Genomic DNA, 19,664 nt, shown 5'->3' on the forward strand with positions numbered 1-19,664 from the left:
CTCAAAAAAAAAAATAAAGAAAAAAGAAAACAAGAACAATTGATAATAAGTGACGTAAGCCTAATTAAACACAAGAAGACAGAAAAAGAAAAGCAGTAAACTGGGAAAAAAAATGAAAGGAAATAATGAAAATAAAAGCAGACATTAAGAAAGTAAAAACAAAAATGACCCAAAATAATTAAAAATTGGCTTCTTTATTTTTTTATTTTATATTTATTTATTTTTTTTTTTTTTTGAGACAGAGTCTCACTCTGTAGCACAAGCTGGAGTGCAATGGCGTGATCTCAGCTCACTGCAACCTCTGCCTCCAGGGCTCAAGCAGTTCTCATGCCTCAGCCTCCCGAGTAGCTGGGACTACAGGTGCGCGCCACCACGCCCGGCTAATTTTTTGTATTTTAGTAGAGAGAGGGTTTCACCATGTTGCCCAGGGTGGTCTCAAACTCCTGAGCTCAGGCAATCCGCCCACCTTGCCCTCCCAAAATGTGGGATTACAGGCCTGAGCCACTGCGCCGTCAAAAATTGGCTTCTTTAAAAGAACATAAAACAGGCAGATCTCTGACAATAATGATAAAGAAAGGAAAATAGAAGGCACACGTAAACACTACTAAAATGAAAAAAGGTCACTTAACTATAGATACAGTAGAATTTTTAAAAAATCATAGTATGGTAACTTTGTGCCAATATATTTTAAAATATGAAATGAAAAATTTCCTAGAAAAATGTGAACTACCAAAAATAACTTGAGAAAAAATAACAAACTTAAAACAATATTATTAGATAATTTGAAATGGTAGTCAAAAATATCTCTCTGTCTTTTAAACACACACACACAGACACACACTCACATACTCTAATATGCCAGAGGGGAGAAGGCCTCAGGCCTTTTATAGGCAAGTTTTACCAACCTTAACAGGTCAGTTAATTCTTTTTATACTATTCCATAGGGGAAAAAAAGAGGAAAAGCTTATCAACTGATTTTATGGAGCTATTGTAACTTTGCTACCAAAATTGAAAAAGCACAGTACAAGAAAAAATATACATAGATCAATCTTATTTAGGAACATAGAGGCAAAGATTCTAAAAAACATTAACATTTTTTAAATGTTCATCATAATCAAGGAAAAATGTAAGGAAAGTTCAACATCAGAAAAATTTAGCAATATAATTCACCATATTAACATATTTAAAAAGAAAAAACCTCATGGTCTCAATATATACCAAAAGAAAAAAAAATCATTCAATACTATTCAACATTAATGATAAGGGAAAATCCTCTGGATGGAGCAGAATAGAAGAGAATTTTCTGAACCTGATTGTTGTTATCAACCAAAGCCCTAGAGCAAAAAATACTCTTAGTAGGGGAAATTTTGAAGCATTCCTTTTCTACTTCTCGATTAAAAGCAGAGACAAGTCAAGGATGATCATTGTTGCCACCATTTTTGTACTGAGGTCCTAGCACATGCAATAAGACAAAGTATGGAAGGAAGAGAAGAGGGAAGGAGGGAGAGACGGGAACAGGTAGTACCACTCAGGAATGCATGTGACTATAAATATCAGAAAAATACCAGTGGCCTAAACAATGAAGAATTTGTCTCGTACACAAGAAATTGGGAAGTGAGGAGCCTAGGGATGGTGGCATTGATCAGCAGGTTGTCATGGTGTTCTTTCTACTTTACCCTCTTTGGTATGTTTGATTTAATCTTCATGCTTGCCACCTCTTGGTCATAAGATGGCTTCTGCAGCCCTGGGCCTTACATACACATTCCAGGCCAGATGAAGGGGAAAATAGTGGTGTCAGTCTCTTCCCAGAAGCCTTGGGGTGGACTTTCCCTTACATCTCACTGCTCACTGCTAGCTATGAGAAAGGCTGGGAAAGTGGATGTCCAGGGATAGGGTTAGAGCTAACATTAGGATTATAGACATACTTATACTAAATAAATTCTTAGAATGATGTTATGCTTATTCTAATCCATTCATGGAAATTCTGTTATTCTTTGTTGGATAAGTATATTTAATATTTGAGACATACTAAAAACTTATTTATTGTTTATCTTAAGTTAAAATTTAACTGCATGTTCTTAAAAAAATTTTTTTTCTAATTTGCTAGGAGTTGGGCATATTGTCACTCTGAAAAAACTGGGGCTCTAAAATTAGTAATAACTGGCCGGGCGCGGTGGCTCACGCCTGTAATGCCAGCACTTTGGGAGGCTGAGGTGGGTGGATCACGAGATCAGGAGATTGAGACCAGCCTGTCGAACACAGTGAAACCCCGTCTCTACCAAAAAATACAAAAAAAAATTAGCTGGGCGTGGTGGTGGGCACCTGTAGTCTCAGCTATTCTGGAGGCCGAAGCAGGAGAATGGTGTGAACCTGGGAGGTGGAGCTTGCAGTGAGCCGAGATTGTGCCACTGCACTCCAGCCCGGGCGACAGAGCAAGTCTCCATCTCAAAAAAAAAAAAAAATTAGTAATAACTACCACAAAAGCATACAAGTTTGTCCAGAAAGACAAGGATTTTTTCCTCTCCATTAACTCTGGCAAAATTTACCAAACAGATTTTTCCAGCAGGGAAATTGAGTAGCAAAATAGGCAGTGCATTAGGATACGGTTTTGTAAAAATGCAGACACATTCCTCAAATGCATGTGTCTCATAAAATCCAAGGCCACATGAAATAATAATTTAGTGATAGCATTTCTGCAGACAGCTAAGAAAATTCTTATTGATATCATTAACTGTGGATTAGCCATGTGAAATTACTTATCCTTGAGATCTTTGTCCTACCAAATTGTATTACAATTTTACTAAAATCCTTTAAAAGTTATGCCCACTTGAAAATTTCTCAGCTGCTATTTTGTTTGAACATGGGAATTTAGCCATAAATCTCACTTTTCTGCAAGAACCTGAAAGTTAAACAAAAATTGTACTGAGTCTGCAGACAATAGGAATAACAAATTTTACTGGTGAATCTGTGGATTCAAAGCAGGCTGAACACAGAATGTGGACTTACCTTCAGAAGTGGGAGAGCAAACTCCAAAGTGGACACCAGGGAAGGAGAGCATAGAACTGAAGGCAAAAACTATACCCTTAAAATGGGGTCTTCATACACTACTGGCCAGGGGATAGTGAGGACTACAAGTCACAGGGAAGCTTGCCGGAAGCCAGGGAAACCAGAGGGTTGTAAAAATGGGTTGATCAAATGCAACAAAGAAATCCCTTTTGTGAAGGTGAGTTTCACTGAAAAGGCTCTGCTATTTTTCCTACTCTTTAAAAAAGAGCTGAAGATATTCCTTGCAGCTCAGTTGAGGCAATCTAAGAGAACCAAGTCCTCAAAGTGAGATTCTAAATTATATATTGATATCCTTTACTAGCATGCTGTTTTTGATCAATATCTGTCAATTCCTTCTAAGATTGTTGTTATAGAAAACTAACAGAAAAGGGGGTTGAGCTGAAGGAATTGAGCTGAAAGAAGCCTCACTTCTTTTATTCAATTAACCATTTAAATAAATTTTTTGTTCTCTTTCTTGGGCTGAGTAGTATAAGGATTTTTCTCCCCTGAGAATGTCAGACTTGGGCTTTTGGTAAAGGGCAGTCAGGTTTGCTGCTAGGCAGTAGGAGAGATGTGATTGAGAGCATTATCTAGCATGTGGGCCCATTCTTCCTCGACCATGGGCTAGGTGTGTTCTCTAAAAGTTGTTGCTTATAGACTTAACTAATTTCAAAAATAATCTTTATGGTGCTTTTCACTTGTGTCACTTCCCTCAGTCATTTAAATTTTTTAGAATCTTTTTTTTTACACAATAGAATAGTCCATATGTAGCTATGTTAAATCACATTTTACATGAACCTGGGAATCTGGCTATTTAAAGAAATCTTCTAACAAAGCATTTTATAAGACAGATATTACTCTCTAATTTGCCTGCTTTTAAAATGTGCCTGCTTTTAAAATTTGCCTTTTTATCTAGGCAGTTTGCATAAGGCGGGCTGACTTTGTATTCTAATAGAACTGTTGCCCTCTCATGCTCTTGGCTTCCTTTTGAAGTCAGTGATCATAGCTGTTTCATTGAATGAATACAGAAAGAAAGGTAGTGAGCGCACAGTGGGTGACAGAGCCATTTGACTTTCAAGGTGCAAACCCAATAGCATCCAACCAGTGACTCAGCCTCTTCTTCTGGAAAAGGTAACATGTACTATCTTCATCCACAGCCACTTTCACTATACCTCGGGAACCACCTCCATCTCCAGCAGAAGTGAAGTTCTTTCCCAAGAAACAAAGATCAAAGGTATTTATATTCCTCACTATAGAAAGAAAATTATTCTTATTTACAGCACTTTCTGTGAGATATTTGGTGATTTACACGTTATTGAGTTGTACCTTCAACATAGAAATAAGTGCTATTTCAGCTGCTGCTGGTATGCATTTGACTTTCAAAAGGGGAATTGTACAAGTCAACTCTAGCATAATGTTATTGGTGGGGTCTAAAAAATTCAATCATGTTGCATCATTGCAAGATTAACTAAATGACTGGCTCAGCCTCTAATACTAACTGGTCAGGAGTCCAGTAGCTATTGCTTTGTATCCAAATTTGTATGGTATAGGATGTCTTATTGTGAGGTTCTACTGTATTTCATTTGTCTTTAAATACAGGCTAAAAAGGCAAGATCTCCAAACATAGAATACCTTAATGAAGCAGGGGAAAGAATTCTGTATTATCATTATTATTATTATTATTTCAAGACAGAGTCTCACTTACTCTGTTGCCCAGGCTGGAGTGCAGTGCACTATGTCGACTCACTGCAACCTCTGCCTCCTGGGTTCAAGCGATTCTCACGTCTCAGCCTCCCAGGTAGCTGGGATTACAGGTGCCTACCACCATGCCCGGCTAATTTTTGTATTTTTAGTAGAGACGGGGTTTCACCATTTTGGCCAGGCTGGTCTCGAACTCCTGACCTCAAGTGACCCACCTGCCTCGGCCTCCCAAAGCGCTGGGATTATAGGCATGAGCCACCACGCCTGGCCTTTTTTTTTTTTTTTTTCTTTTTTAACCATCATGAGGCACTTTCTTTTCTTTTTTTTTTTTTTTGAGATGGAGTCTTGCTCTGTCACCCAGGCTGGCACAGTCTCGGCTCACTGCAACCTCTGGCTCCGAGATTCAAGTGATTCTCATGCCTTAGCCTCCCGAGTAGCTGAGATTACAGGGATGTACCACCACTCCTGGCTAATTTTTTGTATTTTTAGTAAAAACAAGGTTTCGCTATGTTGGCCAGGCTGGTCTCGAACTGCTGGCCTCAAGTGGTCCACCTGCCTCGGCCTCCCAAAATGCTGGGATTGTAGGCATAAGCCACCACACCGGGCCAAATTCTGTATTCTTTAACATTAACTCCTCACAGTACAATGTAATTCATTCTTATGGAGATTCCCCCAGTTTAAATGTGCTGGACTTTTGTACCTTGCTTTCTTAGGTTTATGGACTGCAGACAGACTTGTGATTTTTGAAACTTTTCACCACAGAAAGGAGACAGCTGGCACTGTCTTTTTCTGGCTTACCTTATGTGGAAAGTGGTCATGTTTACAGCTGCTCTCATAAGAAAAGAAAGAAAGAGAAATTGAAGAGCGGAACAAGAGAAATTAATCCTACTGCCTCTCCATAGTAGACTGCTACCTGCTCTTCCCAGACTTTTATCTTTCAATATTGAAATCATCAAGAGGTTTCACTGTAATATCAGCACTGGTGGGCTGTGTCCCCTTAAGAGATTTCCAAGCTATTTATGTAGCAGCATGTCATGTGACACCCCAGTTGCCATGGCAAATATTTGTGTTTCATGAAAAATGTGGGTAAAGAAAATCAATGTAAATGGCCAAATCCCAAGACAGACAGGCCTTCAGGCGAGTGTTTGGCCTGCACCATTATTGTTTCAAATTCAGCTGTTTAACAGGCTGTGAGAAGGCCATGGGCTAATATGCATAATAGGAACAGGCGGAGGCACCTGTTTTGATTCTCACCCTGTTGGAGCGCTCAGGTCCCACAGTTTTATAGATAACAGATCTACAGGTAATACAAATATTATGACTAGGTTTTAGCCAGTAAATGGTTTACCACGAAAAAAATAGTTTTAAATAATGACATATTTTCTGAATGCTAATGAGCCCTGGCTTTAATTTTCTCTGTTGACTTCACAAAGCTCTCCCCAACTGCTGGAAACAGTAATATTTAATGACTTTTTCCTGTGGTCCCAGATTGGTACAGCATTTCTAAATTGACTCTTCAATGGTAAATGTAATTTTTCACATATTTTGTGGGAAGTGTCCTGGGCATGGAAGTTAAAAGGCTAAGAGAAGGACTTCAGTATGCCAAGCCTCGTGATAGAGCCAGTACAGACCTTTGATCAGACACCACCACAAAGCAGTGTGGTGCCACGCTAGTGTCCCCTAGAAGTGGGACTTGGCATCTGATTATAGTTGTTTTTGTAAATATTTACTTAATCAAACTCTTTCTTCAAAGCAAACGGGGCTTGGCAAACAGAGCATCGTTGTCAGTGTGGGAAAGGTCTTTCTAATTATTAGCTCCTGCCTGCGTGGAAAGAGAGAACAGGCTGGCCCAGCGGGTAAAATGGGGAAGGGGGTGAGGCTCTGAGCCTTCTATTTGTTTTGTAAAATTGCCCATGAGAGTCGTTTTGATTTAAACTGTGTCTCATTCTTCATTGTAGGGGAAAAGCAGAAGGTCAAGAGGACATCATGATAGGAAGGTCTGTAATTTGTGTGACTAGTTGAAATTTAGGGTCTGTCACCTGATGTCCCTTCCTTTTGCTGCAGGGCAAGAGTATGGGTGACTGCTTGACAGCTGGAGATGGCAACAAAAGTTCGTGCTTCCTTTGTAAAAGAAATTAGATCATGGTTTCAGGAAAAAAAAAAAAACATGGTTCATTTAAAGTGAAAACCCTTTTTTGCCTCCTTTTGGGACTGAATTACTTCTCAGGCTTCAGTCCAAACAAATGACTTAGCGTCCTTAAAATTTGGCTGAATCACATCAATCTTCAAATTCAATCAAAGATTTTCATCTTTTAAAAGTACACTTAAAAAGAAATAAAATGTGAAAAATAAATGCGGTTGTCCCCCAGCACGTGCTTATATGTGTGCATGCATATAGGATGCACACACACATGCAACATACTGCATGTATGCTGTAGTACAGATGGGATTTAGAGTTAAGCTAATCCTAACAACTAAGGTTATAAAAACATTGGAAAAATGAAATAGCCCCCACAATATGGCAAGTACATGCCAGCAAGGAACATTCCACAAGGCCATGCATGGGTAATAAAAGTCCTGAACTTGAAGTAGGAATGCACCTGATTCTCCTTTGAGCAAGTCACTTGACTTCTCTGCTCTTCACTTTCCTCCTCTGACAAATGAGGATAAAGCTTCCTTCACGTAGAGTTGCTGCAAGGATCAGATGCATTAATGTGTGTGAAAGTGTTTTGGAAAAGTACTTGTTATCATAACTCATTGGTCCATTATTAAGAGCATCTTCTAGGCCTCCCTTTCTTGGGGATCTCTTATCAGTAAGAATTTTACAGGGATCTTAGCCATCTGCTTTCAAGGAAAAAGAGCCCGCCTTTGGGGTCACATTTTATTCCTGCAGAGCTGTGCCTAGATAGAGCTGTATTTACATCAATGATTACATACAGTCCCTCTGTACCTAGACAGATTGCTCCTTGGTAAACTAATCCGTGCAATTAGATCCTTCCTCTTACGTCCCTTGACGTCTTACTGTGAGAAAAGTGTGAGCTTGATTCTGCAGGTTAAAAATAGGATGTGTTTACGAACAGTAAGGCATTATTTATCTGGAATATTTGTAACTGCTAATGTTGACTGAGCATGTCCTGCATGCATGGCACTAAGCATCTTTCGTACCCACTGAACCGTCATAGCAGGCAGAACCTATGTGCTGCAGTTGTCCCCAGGCCCACTCAGTTGGTAAAAGGGTGCAAAGGATCCAGCTGACAGAGTGAAGCTCCGGAGTTTGTGCTCTCTGCCTGTTCCAGGTTATGAATGCTTCCACATGGGTCAGCTTTTCAAATAGTACTACTACTGCTCCTGTTACTACTGCTGCTGTTGCTGCTGCGACTGCTACTTGCAGCTAACATATACTGAGTGCTTACTCTTTGCCAGGCTCTGTTCCTAATGTCTTAAGTGGATTATCTCACTTCATTTTCACAGGATTTCTGTGCAATAGGCACTATTATCATTCAGTTAGTCATCCAATTAGTAAATGACAGAGCCAACATACAAAACTGGACTATGTAACTACCAGAGCCCCAAAGCATTAGAAATTTTTATAAATATCAATCATTTTTATGGAAACATATTACATTTATTGCATTTCTAAAATATATTACACTTCTGCCTAACTAATATAATTTAATCTTTTCTCTATTCAATATCATGTATACAGGTAATCAGTTTCTGTGTCTTTTACTGTTTTCTTCAATAACAGACAGCAGTTACCACCCTTGCTGTTGTGTCTGCTTTCATCGGCTCCGACTTTAACAGCCTTTTCTATCTTATAGCTCAGTTAACCAAACCCAATTTAAGAAGTTGAATAAGTTTAAGTCAGTCAGGCTTTGCACAGGATCCGAAGAATAAAAAATGATAGTAGAGTTTGTAATAGTTATTTCAATAAATCTGAGGCATCCTTATTTTCAAGAATCTAGTTCAAAGGTTTGAGGTTGTTAAAATTGCCTGTCAGGAAATAAATCTTTTTATTATCTTAAGGCAAGCATAAAAACTATGTTAAGATTCACTCAATTTTAATTAATATTTTGATAATAAAAATCTATTTTATGGATAAAACAAGCAAACAAACAAATATTTATTCTACTATAGGAGTACAGACCAACTTCATGAGTGTGTTTGCTTCTGGGAACAGGAAGAAAGAGGAAGGAGAATGAAAAGAAATACAGAGAGGATGTTAACTTTATATATATATAACATACATATACGCACACACCACACACACACACACACACACATACACACGTATATTTACAGCAAAGACGACAAAAAATTAAACAAAAATGTGTCCGTGGTAGTTTTTTATATTATTCTCTATACTTCTCTGTGTGTTTAAAACTTTTCCAAAACATCTCCAAATTTAAAAAAAAAATCCAAATTGAAGAAAAATATAAAAGAAAATCCTGTTTCCTAAGCCATCCTTGTGTTGTAAAATTTATATTGGTGTAGAAAGAATGGGTTTGGGTGATAACATTGTAATCTCAAATTTGGGGTCTCACTTCTCTTAGTCATTCTTTTCAATTGTTACTTTCTTTAGTATTTTCCCACCATATACTTCTGATCCTGTCATTTAGAAAACTGTAATTATTTTATGGGTGAGTCAGCTGAACTGTTTTAATCAGGCAATATGTGTGACATTAAACATATCACTGCCCCTATCTGCTCTCATTTCCTTCTATCTGTATAAAAAGGAGATTGGATCAAATCAGTGTTTTTAAGGGGCTTCCATATCCTCACCCTACAGCCCCAGGAAATCCTCACCCCATAGCCCCAGGGAAAGAAGAGAAGCAAAAGCTCCTAGCAATAGGGGGCTGTAGGCCCCTATATCCACAACACTTGGGTTTTCTATTTTACCTCTTTGCTATCAAACTATATGGTATTTGAACAAAGTGTTCGAGGCTTTAAAATGTATACTTTCAAAACCACTAGATGATATCTAGCAGCAGTTTTGGCTTTAACATGTCAAATCTGGTGGGGGAATAAGCCTACTTCTTAAAAGGCACAGGGTGCCTCCCTGGCTGACTTTGCTCCCAGCACAATTTAGTCTCCTTTCTTGTCTTGCCCTAAAGGGCTGGAGAGAGGGCAGTTCTTAAGAGAATCAGAGCTCTGCAACCTGGAGATACAAAACAAGATTCAAAAGCAAGTCCAAAGCTATTTTTTTCTCTTTTAGACTCATTCTCTCTCATAAAACTTCATTTAACTTACCATCTTAAAGGAAGAAGAGAAAAGAAAAATCCAGACACGGAAAAAAAAACAAACAAACAACCCCTGTGGAATCTTTTTTAAAAAACACAAATCTTGATTTTTTTTTTTTTTTTTTTAGATGGAGTCTTGCTCTCTCACCCAGGTGGGAGTGCAGTGGCATGATCTCGGCTCACTGCCACCTCTGCCTCCCTAGTTCAAGCGATTCTCCTGCCTCAGCCTCCCAAGTAAGTGGGACTAGAGGCGTGCACCACCACACCCAGCTAAATTTTTTTTTTTTTTGTATTTTTAGTAGAGATGGGGTTTCACCATGTTGGTCAGGCTGGTCTCAAACTCCTGACCTCAAATGATCTGCCCACCTCAACCTCCCAAAGTGCTGGGATTACAGGCGTGAGCCACCATTCCCAGCCTAATTTTTATTTTTTCAACTTTTAGGTTCAGAAATACATTTGCAGATTTGTTACATAGGTATTAATAAGCTGTGTGTCATGGGGATTTGGTGTACAGATTATTTCATCACCCAGGTAATAAGCATAGTACCCAATAGCTCATTTTTGGATCCTCACCCTCTTCCTACCCTCCACCCTCAAGTAGGCCCCTGTGTCATTCCCTTCTTTGTGTCCATGTGTACTCAATGTTTAGCTCCTACTTATAAGTGAGAACATGCAGTATTTGGTTTTCTGTTCCTGTGTTATTTTGCTTAGGATAATAGCCTCCAGCTCTATCCATGTTGCTTCAAATAACATGACCTCTTTCTTTTCCATGGCTGCATAGTATTCCATGGTATATATGTACCACATTGTCTTTATCCAGTCTACTATTGATGGTAATTTAGGTTGATTCCATGTCTTTGCTATTGTGAATAGTGCTGCAGTGAACATAACACATGCATGTGTCTTTATGGTAGAATGATTTATAGTCCTTTGGGTATATACCCAATAAGGGGATTGCTGGGTCGAGTGGTAATTCTGTTTTAAGTTCTTTGAGAAGTCACTAAACTGCTTTCTATAATGGCTGAACTAATTTACATTCCCACTGGCAGTGTATAAGCATTCCCTTTTCTCTGCAACCTCACCAGCATCTGTTATTTTTTGACCTTTTTATAATAGTCATTCTGACTGGTATGAGATGGTATCTCATTGTGGTTTTGATTTGCATGTAGAATCTTTTAAAAAGAGTTACCATTTTCTCTAATTCATTAGAAATTGCCATCCTCACCTATGCGTTTTCATCATTAAACTTTCCAAATGAATTGAAATTATATAGTTTTATTTGCCAAACAATTTTTTTGAAATTCTTGTGGAACAATTTTTCTTGTAATTACCGAGAAAAACTACAAGGACTGTTTTTACTACTTTTCATAGCATTGTCTAACTGAACATTTTTATTACATGTGATTAATAATTTTGCTTATATACAACAGAAAAAAGGTTAAATTATCAGCCAACAAGATAATCTGTATTTTTTCACTTTATCTCTTTCATTGATCAATTGTGACCTGATCATTCATAGAAAATTTGGAAAATTCAGAAAAGAGAAAAAAAGTATAGAAGGATTTTTTTCCCCATATCACAATCCTTTGGTACTATTTAAACTTTGGCATATTCTTTTATTGGTATTATACTGTATATTCAACTCTGGTTTTACTCTTTTCATCTAATAGTTTATCATAAACCTTTACATATATGATTTAAAATTCATAAAACATTTTTAGTGGCTTTATAATATCTTTATTAAAGATATACCATAATTTTCATCCTATTGCTTGACATTAAATTATAAATGTTACATTATTAATAAATAATTGTTTTTGTTCTTGTTTTGAGATGCGGTCTCTCTCTGTCACCTAGTCTGCAGTGCAGTGGCACGATTGTGGCTCACTGCAGCCTTGACCTGCCGGGGCTCAAGCAGTCCTCCCACCTCACAGTCCTGAGTAGCTGGGACTACAGGCATATGCCACCACGCCCAGCTAATTTTTCTGGCATTTCTTTGTCGAGATGGGGTTTTACCATGTTGCCCAGGCTGGTCTGGAACTCGTGGACTCAAGTGATCTGCCTGCCTTGACCTCCCAAAGTGCTGGGATTATAGGCATGAGCCACCACACCTAGCCTGTGGAACTTCTTGATCAAAGGGTATGGACATTTTTGTATCTCAGTAGCCAAACTTTGCATTAGTGCTCCAAAACTCAAGCTATAAGTTTGCAAATAACTTGTATGATCATAGAACAGCTTTGTGCTGTGAACCCAGTCCAACTGGCTATAAGCTTAAATTTTAGTATTCACACTTTCATACATTCATTCATTCAACTAATCCTTTTTGACCTTTACCGTGTGCCAGGCAGTGTACTAGATAGGCACTGGGGACACAACAATGAATGAAGCAAACCTAGTCCTTGTCCTCTTGGGGTTTATATTTTAGTGAGAGAGGCAATAATCAGATATTTAATATAATATCAAAGAGTGAGATAAGTGCTATGAAGAAAAATAAACCAGAATACATATGTAGGTATAGAAGCCACGCACGGTGGCTCACGCCTGTAATCCCAGCACTTTGGGAGGTCATGGCATGCAGATCACTTGAGGTCAGGAGTTCAAGACCAGCCTGGACAACATGGTGAAACCCTATCTCTACTAAAAATATAAAAGTTAGCCGGGTGTGGTGGCGCGTGCCTGTAATCCTGGCTGCTCAGGAAGCTGAGGCAGGAGAATCACTTGAACCTGGGAGGTGGAGGTTGCAGTGAGCTGAGATTGCACCACTGCACACTAGCCTGGGCAGCAGAGGAAGACTCTGTCTCAAAAACAAAAAAAGAATACATATGTAGGTATAGAGAATATGACAAGGTGGAGCTCTGTAGGAATTTTGCAAGTGTTCTTTAGTGATTTGGATCAAGGAACGTACTAGATCCACATTTTTCTCAGGAAACATGGAATGTCAAGCTTTACTTTGGTGATAATAGCAGTCCTTTTTGAGGCTTGCTCTTTTTCCCATACGTGTAGAGAAAATTATGATGTGTCTTTGCTCAGAGATCTGGGAATCCAGGCTGCTTTTGATTCCCATCCTGTCAGGCTTCCTGTCCACATCCCCAGCAGGTTCAACCCATCCATCATAATTGTCCCCAGTGGTCCTTAACTATGTCACATTTTCTCAGAGAATATTAGAGGTATAACAGAAAAGATGAAATCAATGCAGCAGTAAAATGAAATGTGTCTCTAGAAGGAAATTTCACATTTGACTGAAAATAGACCATCTATTTACAAAATCTTCTTGATTCTATTCTGTTTGATCTTCAACCAGATTTTGATCCATCGTGTGTTTTTGTTCCATGAGAATGCATCAAAGGATGGGGATTTTTCTCCTCAGGAAGTGTTTCAGAGTTCAGGAAGACTCATTTGAATAAAGATACCTTTCAAAGCAATTGCAGAAATTATTCCTAGAAAATTGCTGCTGATCTGAGTGGCCTTTACGCTCAAGTCTCTTCTTTTATATATCTCTGCTCGATGAGTTCTGTTTTTGCCTTTTATTCTCTTTGTAAAGGTTAAGGACTCTGACTTCCACTTTTAATTGGCACTTAAGGATTACTTAGACAGTTTCTAGATATTATGAACTGAGAGCCATTGACTTGCAGGCCCCAGAATACTGGAACACTACTCTTTGGGGTTCTCTCCCCATGACCACCTTTACCATTAGGTGGTGTGGGCAGTCGTTCATCTATTTTGATTTCAGAGTTACTAGAAAGAGTTTTCTATCTGAAAAATAGAATACGAAAAAAATCCCCCAGGTTTTTTTCATGGTGCATAAAGTGATGCCATTGGAGATAGTTGCCTTTGATTTGATGGCTTTACTGGCTCCAGAAGTTTATTAAAAAGCCAATACCCCTGCAGGGGTGACACATTAAGTCAGAGAGGCGTAGGGTATCAAAATTAGAAGTGCCCTGAGTGATCTCTTAATGGAAACTGAAACCCACAGAAGTGGCTTCCCAAGGCCACAGAGGAAGGTGGTAACAGACTAGATTCTGGGTCTTGTTGCTTCTGATACACCACACTATGTTATGTTCATTAGCACAGTGATAGGAATTAGTTTGACAAATTGCTTTCCAGCCTGTCAAATAAGAAAAAATGAGCTGAGTGCAGTGGGTCATGCCTGTAACCCCAACACTTTGGGAGGCTGGGGTGGGTGGATCGCTTGAGGCCAGGAGTTCAAGACCAGCTTGGGCAAGATAGTGAGACCCTTATCTCTACAAAAAAATTACAAAAATTAGATGGGCGTCATGACATGTGCCAGTAGTTCCACCTACTCGGGAAGCTGAGGTGAGAGGATCACTTGTGCCCAGGAGTTTGAGGCTGCAGCAAGCTATGATCACGCAACTGCACTCCAGCCTGGATGACAGAGGGAGACCCTGTCTCTAAAAATAATAATTATCGTTCAGTTTTTTTAAAAGAAAAAGAAAAAAACAGCAGATCAAGGCCAGGTTGGCTCTGATGTACAAGGTGGTAGAAGGAAGACTAAGAAGAGCAAAGCTTAGTAAGGAGCCATATGGAGAGTTCTAGACAGTTTAGGCTGTGGGCACTGGTGGTACGGGGGTAGGGGTCAGCATGAGGTAGGGTGGGGAAGAGAAAACACCCGATGGGAAGGAAGAGGGGCTGATGAAAGGAAATGGAAGAGTAGCAAAGACACACTTCTTATAGTACTTATTCTCCTTCCTTTGGTTATATATGGATTTGGGTTGTTTAGGAACAGAATTTTGTCTTATAGTAACAAAAATACTGTCTTAGAAATTAAGAAGATCTGCCAACTAGCTTTGTGATCTTGGGCAAGTCATTTAACCTCTCTGAGCCTCAGTTTCCTTCTCTATAGTAAAAACCACATTGACTAGGGCTAAGGCACTGTTAAAGGTTCTTGACACATACTGTAATCATCATAGCAACTCTGCAGGGACCTCTCATTTTTACAGATAAGGAAATTTAGGTTCAGAGGGTGTAGTAACTTGCCCAAGAGTATGTAGCAGATATTGGCAAAGCTTGGATTTGAACCCAGGTTAGCTGGACTTAAGGCCAAGGCTAATTTCTCTGGGCCCGTAATAGCCTATTGAGCAAAAGGCAAGGGCAGTGACCTTCAAGTTCCCTTGTCCTCTAAAATTCAGGCCTGTGACTATGCTGAATTCCGGACCGCTGATTAGGTCAGCTAGTCTCTCTGAATATCATGTACATCTTTTGAACAATTCTAGCCAGCTGAGGTCCTGATGTTTATTCTATAGAAAGCTCAACACATTGTGGACCCTTAACACAATTTAAAAGCAGAGTCAGACAAATAGCATCCCTGGTCTTTGAGAAAGAATAAGGACTCCATCTCTGAGGGACATTCCATTCATATTCTAAATGCAAACTCTCATTTAGAGCCATAAGGTGCAGAAAGAACTTACTCTTTTTCACACAGTGCAATTGCCTGGGCTAATTACTAATGGATATGTTTGGGTATTTGAGAAACTGAACATTGGCTTTTAGTTTCAGAAGGAATTTAGTCTATCCTTCTAGGCAATGGAATGATTATCATTCTCTAAAGATGATATCCATGTGGTATTATCCCAAATACTTGGCCATTTGCCACTATGAGATCCTGCTTGTATCTGATTATGGATCCAGTTTAATGCCACACCCACATACTGTCCACATACATGAAAAGAACATTTTTCATAAAGACATTTGTCTTAGAAATGTGATTTTCTTTGTGGTAGTTATTTCTAAATTTTATTTATTTATTTATTTATTTGAGAGACAGGGTTTCACTCTGTCACCCAGGCTGGAGTGCAGTGGTGTGATTATAGCTCACTGCAGCCTCGAACTCCTGGGCTCAAGCAATCCTCTCACCTCAGCCTACTGGGTAGCTAGGACTACAGCTGCACACCACCACACCCAGCTAGTATTTCTAAATTTTAGAATGCAACACTGGGTCTATCTTTTTTGCTTAACATCTGTGACTTACTAACATATGTAATCATCATCCTGCTTTCCTGTTTTTTGTTTTGGATTTAGAATTTTGCCTAAATAACTGCTCCAGAAACTCTCAAAGTTATCTAATTAGCGATTACACTTTGCAAACAAAGAACATTTCCCAGCTAATTAGTTAGAGCAAGATGCTAATAATTAGGCCACAGGTTTGGGCTTCATGTGGGCCAATTAGTGAATACAGGCATCTCGCAAAGGTATGATTGTGACCCAAGAAGCACCAGGTGAGAATACAATGTTTTGACAGAAATCCTTCTTGGCTAGAAGGAAAAAAAAATTGCCGTCAAGTCAGTAATATCATATTGGGAGTACAGCACATCTTAAAAAAGGAGGGAAAGAGAGAGGAAGGAAGAGAAAAAGAAAAAAGAGAAAGAAGAGAGGGAAGGGGAAAGAAGGGAAGGAGGGAGGGAGGAAGGAAGAAAAGGAAGGAGGGAGGAAAGAAGGCAGAGGAAAAGAAAAAGAAGGAAAGAAAGAAGAAAGAAAGCCAACAAATAATAGTAGATAAGTTCACAGAGATAATAAAGAATAACAGAATGAGCCAGAACCTGAAGCATGGCATGACCTTTAATCAGGGCTCTTATTCCTAGCAGGCTGTGAAGCAGCTTTGTCTTTACCTGCTCAATGGATCTCACAATGCTGATGCACTGCTTTAATTTGGGAAGCCTTTCTCTTGAGAGGCATGTCTTTTCTTGCTCCAAGTCTAAAGTGCTCCCAAGTGTGGCATTCTCTGTGACAGATGTACTACAGTTATGCTTTAGCTGACTCCAAACCGATAGCTTCCCAGTGCCTGAGTGGTCTGTTTGATGTCCAGGAGTATGTTTCCTTTGAGAGCAGGTCTTTGCTGGAATATCATCCAAGAAGGTAGAAAGGTGTAATCCCTTTGTTCTAAAACAGCCACTGATAAATTTTGCTCCCACTGCCACCCAAGGCTGTTCTTTCAGAAGGTCTAAAATACATTTGCTGATGTACGTAAAAACCCTAGACCCACCCCATGGAAAGGCACTGTCTGAGAGAGACGTGAGTTCTCTCCTTTCTCAACTTCTGCCAAGGTTGTCCCATTTTCATAGATGGTCCTAATTCCACATGTCTCGCTGTGAAGATAAGAAGTTTCAGAATATTGCCAAGAAGACAAGATTCTCTGGCAAATCTCCCATCGATAGCTTTGCTTCTTATAGGTCTCAGAGTCCTGTTGACTGAATCACACGTGACTGGCAGGACCAGCCAGCTCCATACATGTCCATCTGTGATTATTTTGCATGTCTGTTTCTCACTGATGAAGCACTGTCATTCTTCTCTGAATTCTAATTCCTAGTATCAGAGACCGTTCCTGAAGGGAGGGAGCAATGTGGCCATAGAGGCCATTTCTGTTGGAACATGTGCCACTTGTCTTCTACCAGGAGTGGCAGCCTCTCCTGCCAGCACTGGTGGCTGCTGAAGGGGGCATTACTTCTCCAACTTTCTCTTGCCCATCCAAGAAGAAGGAATTTATTTTCATCTACCAAGTAGCTTGCATTCTCTTCTGGCACCCTGATTAGATCAGAAAGGGATAGAAGCTTGGAAGGAAGATTTTTTCCCTCATTTTTATGCCTTATAACAACTCAAGTTAAAAGTACACAAAAAGCTCACTGCTGTTTAAAGTCTGCTTCTAAAGTGAAAGGAAATTTGCACTTTTGGACTTAACACTTGTTTTTCAGCATTTTTACTTGAGATGGCAGTCTAATTAATTATTGTGCGGCCCAGGACCGGAGAAAAGAAAACGCGTGAATAATCTGATATAGTAATACTCAACACAGTGCTGTGGCGTAATCATTATGGATAAATTGCTGGGGGGGGTTTTCTTTGAGTTTTTTGAAAACTCTTCAAAATGCGAAGAGTAATAATAACCCCACAGTTTGGTAAAGATGGGCTTATACATCTGAGAACGCTGACATGTTGAAAACAATCTATTCCTCACATACCTAAGCAAGAAGAAACAATTATTACAGTAAGTTAATACCGGGTTTACTGACGAGAACTCAGGGCCTGAAAATCTGTACCCTCCCTCTCCCCCAGCCCCTCCAAGCCATCAGGAACATTTAGATCTTGGGCAGAGTGTCTGTTTTCAGTAGAATAGGTTCTGAGAATTGAAATGTAGTGGTTTAACATAGAAAGTGTAAAGAACAAAAAAAATTGCTCAGCATCCGAGTCTTAGAAATTTACCAATTATAAATAAAAGTATTTTCATAGCTTAAAATGTCAATACAGGTGGGAACAAAATGAAAAGCAAATGCTCCCTTGGTTTTGTTATCAGATTTGTGATCCTAATCCACCTGGGACAGCCCCAGATATGTTCCTAAGAAGAAACCAGACTTAAGAATAAAAGAACACGTGTCAAGAGAAACCTAAGAATGACAAAGGTGATAACATATAACATAATGTTCCTTGTAAAAATGACCTCTGGATATTAAGAGAAGATGGCAGAAGAACTATAAAATGCTAAAAAGTGATGATCTTTTATGAAGTCAGAAACAATTTTTAACGGGCACATTTGAAGTTATCCTAAGGAATGCGAAGAAAGGCTTCGCCCTGTTTTTCAGACTGGTGGATAAGTTGTGATCAAGGAATCAGCAACATGCTTCTCAGACCATGCGTGCATGTGTAAAAACTAAATCACAGAGATTGGGGGTCAGGTGATTGTATCAAAGTAAACTAAATGCATAATTTTTTATGACTGGTTTCCTTGAACAATTTTATAACACTTTTATAAAAATGTTAATAGATTTGAGTGATCTCTAAGATATCCATCTGGTAATGAGTTTTAATGATATATACTAGCTAGACTTTCGTATTATGACGTGTGTGTTAAATCAGTGCTAGGATTCATATCTTCCCACCATTGAATGCTAAATGATAATGTAGTGTGTGTCTTGACCACTCATTTAAAGGAGATCATAATATCTTTCACTTCTAAAATATATTTCTTTTTTTCCACAGGCCATGAAAGTCAAAACACCTTTGAGAGCCCTGAAATCACTGTGGGATTATGACTTTTTAATTTATGATGGTGTCATAGACAATACAGCCCCAGACTTCTTAGCATTCAAGGAACATTTTAGCTTAGCTTGGGGAGGTATTTTTTCTCTCTTGGAACACGTCGAGAAGTTTCTCAGGAACTATGCTATACCAGAAGTCAAAATAAAAGGGAATAATTTGGTGGCCCTCCTTCCAGAGTTTGAGCTGACGAATAAACTTACCAGATATGACCTTCTCTCAGTGTTAGAGGACCCAGCTCATGTCCAAATGCTGATAAATCTTCCAGGGCAAAGGTACAAGGGCCAAGATGGAAATTCGGAGGCCGCCATGAAGATCCAAGCCACATGGAAATGCTACAAAGCAAGAAAATTCTTCCTCTTTTATCGCCAGCAGAAGTGGGCATCAGGTGTGATTGCCATTGCTTGGCTGTTATATTGCCATAAGACTCGACTAAAGAAGATACTAAAGGAATCACGTCAGAGACACCTGGAGAATTTTCGCATTCGAGCCAAGGTGCACAAGGCTGCCAGCTGTTAAGGCAGACCTCTTTTTCTAAACATTTCGTGCTTGAGCGGTTGTAATAAGTTGTCTCTATCTTCCCTTTCTCTTTCCAACTACTCTCCTTGCCTCAGACTCCCACGCCTTTCACTCCCCTCA

General features: G+C 39.2%; 1 protein-coding gene across 11 annotated transcripts in view; it reads left to right on the top strand.

The window, feature by feature from the left end:
• Positions 1-19,664, top strand: part of IQCH (IQ motif containing H) — a 247,019-nt gene that overhangs the window by 98,357 nt on the left and 128,998 nt on the right. For 10 of the 11 annotated variants that reach the window (NR_147832.2, NM_001031715.3, NM_001322475.2 and 7 more), the window contains 3 exons: positions 4,203-4,279; positions 6,705-6,743; positions 18,969-19,520. Coding sequence is in view for 10 of the 11 variants with exons in the window: in NM_001031715.3 (NP_001026885.2) it covers positions 4,203-4,279; positions 6,705-6,743; positions 18,969-19,520 (668 nt within the window). In the remaining variant the exon portion in view is untranslated. Of the gene's footprint in view, positions 1-4,202; positions 4,280-6,704; positions 6,744-18,285; positions 18,392-18,968; positions 19,521-19,664 lie in introns of all 11 variants that reach the window. The other variant, NM_001284348.2, reaches the window with a different exon arrangement.

This window comes from Homo sapiens, chromosome 15 (genome assembly GCF_000001405.40).
Source record: "Homo sapiens chromosome 15, GRCh38.p14 Primary Assembly".
NCBI classification, from domain to species: Eukaryota; Metazoa; Chordata; class Mammalia; order Primates; family Hominidae; genus Homo; species Homo sapiens.